The sequence below is a fragment of the Homo sapiens genome, chromosome 5 (genome assembly GCF_000001405.40).
Source record: "Homo sapiens chromosome 5, GRCh38.p14 Primary Assembly".
In the NCBI taxonomy this organism is placed as follows: Eukaryota; Metazoa; Chordata; class Mammalia; order Primates; family Hominidae; genus Homo; species Homo sapiens.
Window position 1 is genome coordinate 71,094,379 of NC_000005.10, and position 6,660 is coordinate 71,101,038.

Genomic DNA, 6,660 nt, shown 5'->3' on the forward strand with positions numbered 1-6,660 from the left:
CCTTCCAAAGTGCTGGGGACGGTAGGCATGAGCCACCACACCTGTCCAAACTGCAATACTTCTGAAAACTTTAGGGCTCATAGTTTTGTTGAAGTGATAGATGATGGCTATATTCTTTGTTACATAACAGCAAAACATTTTTGTTTTTACATTTATAAATACCAATTAGAATGACTTTCAGTGGATTGGTTTTCATTTTTCACATCATCTTTACCTTCCTGTTACTTTGTGTACATATCTGTCTTTCATACTTGTCCACTTACAAACTTTTTCAAGTAAATTCTGGTGTTACAAGCATAAAAGATGAAAGAACGTTGTCACATGGTCACTTGTCCTTTTAGCAATTATGCGATGATTCAACTGTTCTAGGTACAACTAGAGGGAGAGTATCCCAGGCAAGGGAGATAACAAATAGAAAGGCCCTAAGACACAAGTGTATTTAACATGTTTGGGGAACAACAAGGAGTTAATCGTGGCTGGAGTGGAAGTAAGGAGGAGAGATTAAGGAGATGGAGCTAAGAGAGGTAGTCAAGGGCCAGGCCATATGTCAGCGATAGTAAGGTCTTCAGCATTTACTTTTTTAAGCTGGGAGTCCATGGAAAGGTTTTGAACCCAAGGTATAGCATGATCTGACTTATAGAAAGAGACTTCTGATTGCTGTGTTGAAAATACACCATAGGTTTGAAGGGAGGAAACAGGCTGACTAGTTAGAGCCAGTGTGGGTAGTGGTGGTTGGATCTGAGTATATTTTCCAAGTGGAGCCACCAGGATTTTTCAGTAGATTGACTACATGTGGTGTATGAAAGAGGAGTGTCAAGTGTAACTCCAAGATTTTTGGCTTATGCAACTGGAAAAATAAAGTTAGAATTTAATGAGATGGAGGTCTGCATAAGGAGTACTTTTGTGGCAGGAAAGAAATTGGGTTTTGAACATGTGAAAATTGAGATGCCCATTAGTAGAAGTTGGATGTGAATAAAGAGTCCCGGCCAGGTGCAATGCCTCATGCCTGTAATCTCAGCACTTTGGGAGGCCAAGGCAGGAGAATCTTGTGAGCCCAGGAGTTCAAGACCAGACTGGGCAACAAAGTGAGACCCCGTCTATATTATAAAATAAAAAAATAGTTCAGAGGAGAGGTCTGGGCTAGAGATGGAAATGTAGAAGTTAGTAAATTTAAAGCTGTTGAACTAGAGGAGATAGCTGAGGAAGTGCATTCAAATAGAGAAGATGTCAGAGGAGAACTTTGGGGTTCTCTCAGTGGTTAGAGATAGGATATGAGGAAAAACAGTGCAGGAGACTAAGGAGGAGCTCTCATTGAGTTAGGAAAATCAAGAGGGATGCCCTGGAAGCCAAATGAAGGCAGTGTTTTGAGGAAGAGGGGTGATGGGCCATGTGAAAGCCAATAGGTCAAATGCTGCTAATGGGTCAACTAAAGTGAGGACTGAGAAGTATTCACCAATTTAGCAATGTGGAGCTCATTGGTGACCCTCATAAGAGCTGTTTTGGTGGAATGGAGGAGGTAAAATCCTGGAGGGGGAGAACATAAGAATGAGAGAACAGTTGACAGTGCATGTAAACAACTCTTTCACGGAACTTTGTATTTCTGAATTTTTGTTTATTTGGCTATTAATAAAATCATATCTGATATAGCTTTATTTTAGTAAGGTTTGTTTTTGTGGGACTTCAGTTGTGTATACACATATGTGTGTGTATGTATGTGCGTATGGTGTTTTGATGTAAAATTTATTATTGTGGGTCATGGTTAAAAAAAAAGCTTGAGAATGAGGAGTTAGATCAAGAAATAGAAGGAATGTTGACATAAGAAGTTGTGGATGTAGGAGATTCTACCATGTAGACACAGTGGAAGGATTTAGGGAGTTGGAGCAGGTTGGGATATGTGATCAGAAAGCGGGAGTTTAGCTCTCTCACTTGCCCCTGCTTTTACCATGTGATGTGTCTGCTACCCCTTCACCTTCCACCATGACTGTAAGCTTCCTGAGGTCTCCCTAGAAGCCAAGCAGATGCCAGCACCATGCTTCCTGTAAAGCCTGCAGAACCATGAGCCAATTAAACCTCTTTGTAAATTACCCAGTTTGAGGTATTTCTTTATAGCAGTGCAAGAATGCCCCAATACAGGAAATTGGTACCGAGAAGTTGGGCATTGCTATAAAGATACCTGAAAATGTGGAAACAGCTTTGGAACTGGGTAATGAGTAGTGGCTGGAAGAGTTTACAGGGCTCAGAAGAAGACAGGAAAATAAGGGTAAGTTTCGAACTTTTTTTTTTTTTTTTTTTTTTTTTTTTTGAGACGGAGTCTTGCTCTGTCGCCCAGGCTGGAGTGCAGTGGCGTGATCTTGGCTCACTGCAACCTCTGCCTCCCGGGTTCAAGTGATTTTTCTGCCTCAGCTTCCCAAGCAGCTGGGGTTACAGGCATGCACCACCATGCCTGGCTAATATTTTTGTATTTTATTAGGGATGGGGTTTCACCATGTTGGCCAGGCTGGTCTCGAACTCCTGACCTCAAGTGATTCACCCACCTCGACCTCCCAAAGTGCTAGGTTTACAGGCGTGAGCCACCGCTCCCGGCAAGTCTGGAACTTCTTAGAGACTAGATAAGTGGTTGTGACCAAAATGCTGATGGTGATAGGGACAGTGAAGTCCAGGTTGACAAGGTCTCAAAAGGAAACGAATTTATTGGGAACTGGAGCAAAAGTCACACGTTATGCCTTAGCAAATAACTTGGCTGCATTCTGCTTGTGTCCTAGGGATCTGTGGAAGTTTGAACTTAAAAACTATGACCTAGCGTATGTGGCAGAAGAAATTTCTAAGCAGCAAAGCATTCAAGATGTGGCCTTCTGCTACTAACAGCCTGTGCTCAGATGTGGGGGCAAATGAATGACTTAAATTTGGAACTTACATTTAAACAGGAAGCAGAGCCTAAAAGTTGGGAAATTTTGCAGCCTAGCCAGGTGGTAAAAAAAAAAACCATTTTCTCCAAGGAATTCAAGCAGGCTGTGGAGCAACCACTTGCTGATATTTGCATAACTGAAAGGGATCCAAGTGGTAATATCCAAGACAATGGGGAAAAGGCCTCAAAGGCATTTCAGAGACCTATGGGGCAGCCCCTCCTGTCATAGGCCCTGAAGCCAAGGAGGACTGAATATTTTCCTGGGCTGAGCCCAGGGCCCTGTTGCCCTGTGCAGCCTCAGAACACTGCTCCCTGCATCCAGATGGCTCCAACTCCAGCAGGGGCTCAAAGGGGCCTAGGTACAGCTTGGGCTGTTACTTTGGAGGGCATAAGCCATAGCCTTCACAGCTTCCATTAGGTGGTAAGCCTGCAGGCACACAGAATGCAAAAATGGTGAATTCTTGGTAGCCTCTGCCTGGATTTCAGAGGATGTATGGAAAAGCCTGGGTGTCCAAGCAGAACCCTGCTGCAGGGGCAGAGCCCTCACAGAGAGCCTCTACTAGGGCAGCGTGGAGGGGAAATGTGGGGTTAAAGGCCCCACGCAGAGTCCCTACTGGGGCACTGCCTAGTGGAGCTGTGAGAAGAGGGCTACTGTTCTCCAGAATGGTAGAGCCACTGGCAGCTTGTACCCTGCACTTGGAAAAGCCACAGGCACTCAACCCAGCCTGTGACAGCAGGCTGAACTCTGCAAAGCTATAGGAGCAGAGCTGCCCAAGGCCTTGGGAGCCCAACCCTCATATCAGCGTGCCACATGGAAACCAAGGAGATCATTGTGGAGTTTCATGATTTAATGACTGCCATGCTGGGTTTTGAACTTGCATGGGGCCTATAGCCCCCTTTTTTGGCAGGTTTTTCCCTAATGGGAATATTTCCCCAACCCCTGAACCCTGATTGTATGTTGGAAGTAAATAATTTGTTTTTTATTTTATAGGCTCATAGGTGGCAGGGATTTGCCTTGTCTCAGATGAGACTTTGGACTTCTGAGTTAATGCTGGAATGAGTTAAGACTTTGCGGCACTGTTGGGAAGGCATGGTTGTATTTTGCATTGTGAAAAGGACATAAGATTTGGGAGGGGCCAGAGGTGGAATGATGTGGTTTGGATATTTATCTCTACTTATGTTGAATTTTATCCCGAGTGTTGGAGATGGGGCATGGTGGGAGGTGTTTGGATCATGGGGGCAGATCCCTCATGGCTTGGTGTTACCTTTGTGTTGTTACTGAGTTCTCGTGAGATCTGGTCATTTAAAAGTGTATGAAACCTGCCCCCTGCCCCCCCACTGTCTCTCACTTGTTTCTGCTTTCATCATGTGACATGTGTGCTCACCTTCTGCCATGATTTTAGTTTCCTGAGGCCTCCCTAAAAGCCGAGCAGATGCCAGCACCATGCTTCCTGTAAAGCCTGCAGAACCGTGAGTCAACTAAACCTCTTTTCTTTATGAAAGAAAAGGAAGGAAGGGAGAGAGGGAAGGAGAAAAAGAGAGAGGGAGAGATGGATGGAGGAAGGGAGGGAGGGCTTACAACCATGAGGACAGTTTTTAGGTCAATGAGGGATGACTTGGGAGTCCTATGAAGACTGATGTAAACTAGAATAAAGGGCATGATGAGCTTATGATTCAAAAGTATTTTGTCATAGAAATAGTTTGTTTTCTGTAAAAGAACACAGTAAATATTTTAGCTTTGTAGGCCACTGAGTCTCTGTTGCTTTAAAAAATGTGAAAACCATTCTTAGCTTGAGGGCTGGACAGTCCAGGGCCATACTTTACTGACCGCTGCTTGAACTAAACGCTGTTAGAAGCAGCTCTGGAAAAATAATTTGCATGGAATCTTATGATTTTTTTTTTTTTTTTTTGAGGCAGAATTTTGCTCTTGTTGCCCAGGCTAGAGTGCAATAGCGCGTTCTTGGCTCACTGCAACCTCCGCCTCCTGGGTTCAAGCAATTCTCCTGCCTCAGCCTCCCGAGTAGCTGGGATTACAGGAAGGCACCACCATGCGTGGCTAATTTTGTATTTTTAGTAGAGACAAGGTTTCTCCATGTTGGTCAGGCTGGTCTCGAACTCCCAACCTCAGGTGATCCACCCGCCTCGGCCTCCCAAAGTGCTGGGATTACCAGCGTGAGCCACTGCACCTGGTCAAGTATTATGGTTTTTTAATAGTATGCACACATGGGACAAAACTCAACTGGTATAAAAGGGTATGCAGGAGAAAAAAAGCAAACTTCCCTCTCTCCCTTTTCTGTCCACCAGCCATCCTGTTCTCCTCCCTAAACTCAATTATGGTTGCCTGTTTTTTATATAAGTTTTCCATGAATTTATAAATACATCACGTGCATATATCCTGTCAGTCAATATTAAGAAATTACTAGGTTATTTTGTGTTTATGTGTGCACTATTAGATTTAATGAGTTATGCTAGTTGTTGCCTCTTATATCCACATTCAGTCTTCATTGTCTGTTCTGTAATAATAGATCTGGGCCCTGTAAATACCTCTCCCATGACAGTAAGCACAGAGTGAAACTTTGTCAATCGAGGGTGCTGCTGACACACTGAAGGGGCAAGGGCTGCTTTTCCTGGTTCCATTGTGCTCCTCTAGGCAGACACCTGCAACACCTGTGCCATCTGCAATACCAGCTCCTGTAGCACATACACTCTGCCTCTGCAGCACCTCGTTCTGGCTGCACACTTCTTGGGCGGTGCCTAACTTCAGCAGCACCCAATGGTCAGCAGCGCACAGTACCCCCACATGAATGGCTTCCCTTGACATGCACAAGGTCCCTTCTCTGCAAAGTGCCCCAAGCCCAGCACCTTCTCCAGCTGCAACTCCACAGCCTCAGCAAACCTCTGTCTTTCACAGCTGTGTCCTCTCACACGAAGTCTGGATCTCAGCCCGGATCTCAGCCCTGAGCTTTCTTCTTTGAGTTGTTCTGTCTCAGCCTGGGGTGAAAAGCCCATATCGGCTGTTCCCTGCATCTGCCCAGGCTTCTCTTTATTCCTTACTACCCAATCCCCATTCCAATCCTCTGTTAATAACTCTTACGGACAGTCCCCAACTCATGATGACTTGACTTAGGATTTTTCTACTTTGCAATGGTGCAAAAGTGATCTGCATTCAGTAGAAACTGTTCCTCAAGTACTCATACGACCTCTATTTTTCACTTTCTGTACAGTATTCAATAAATTGCGTGAGATTTTCAATACTTTATTATAAAATAGGCTTTGTGTTTATGATTTTGCCCAACTGTAAGCTAATATAAGTGTTCTCAGCGTGTTTAAGGTAGGTCAGGTTAAGCGATGATGTTTGGTAGTTTAGGTATATTAAATGCATTTCTGACATACAATATTTTCTACTTACAATGGGTTTTTCAGGATATAACCCTGTTGTAAGTTGAGGAGCATCTTATTTTATTTATTTATTTATTTATTTGAAATGGAGTCTTGCTCTGTCACCCAGGCTGGAATGCAGTGGCACGATCTTGGCTCACTGCAACCTCTGCCTCCTGGGTTCAAGCAATTCTCCTGCCTCAGCCTCCCAAGTAGCTGAGACTACAGGTGCACACCACCATGCCTGGCTTTTTTTTTTTTTTTAATTTTTTTTTGTATTTTTAGTAGAGACAGGATTTCACCATGTTGGCCAGGCTGGTCTCGAACTCCTGACCTCAAGTGATCTGCCCACCTCGGCCTCCCAAAGTGCTGGAATT

At 44.3% G+C, this 6,660-nt stretch overlaps 1 annotated feature.

Moving 5' to 3' along the window:
* Nucleotides 2,870-3,741: an enhancer, noted in NCBI's record as "OCT4-NANOG-H3K27ac-H3K4me1 hESC enhancer chr5:70393075-70393946 (GRCh37/hg19 assembly coordinates)". NCBI's record gives its function as "activates a minimal SCP1, AML or CMV promoter by ChIP-STARR-seq in primed H9 embryonic stem cells {active_cell/tissue: H9 hESC(primed)}" and the evidence as "EXISTENCE:reporter gene assay evidence [ECO:0000049][PMID:30033119]".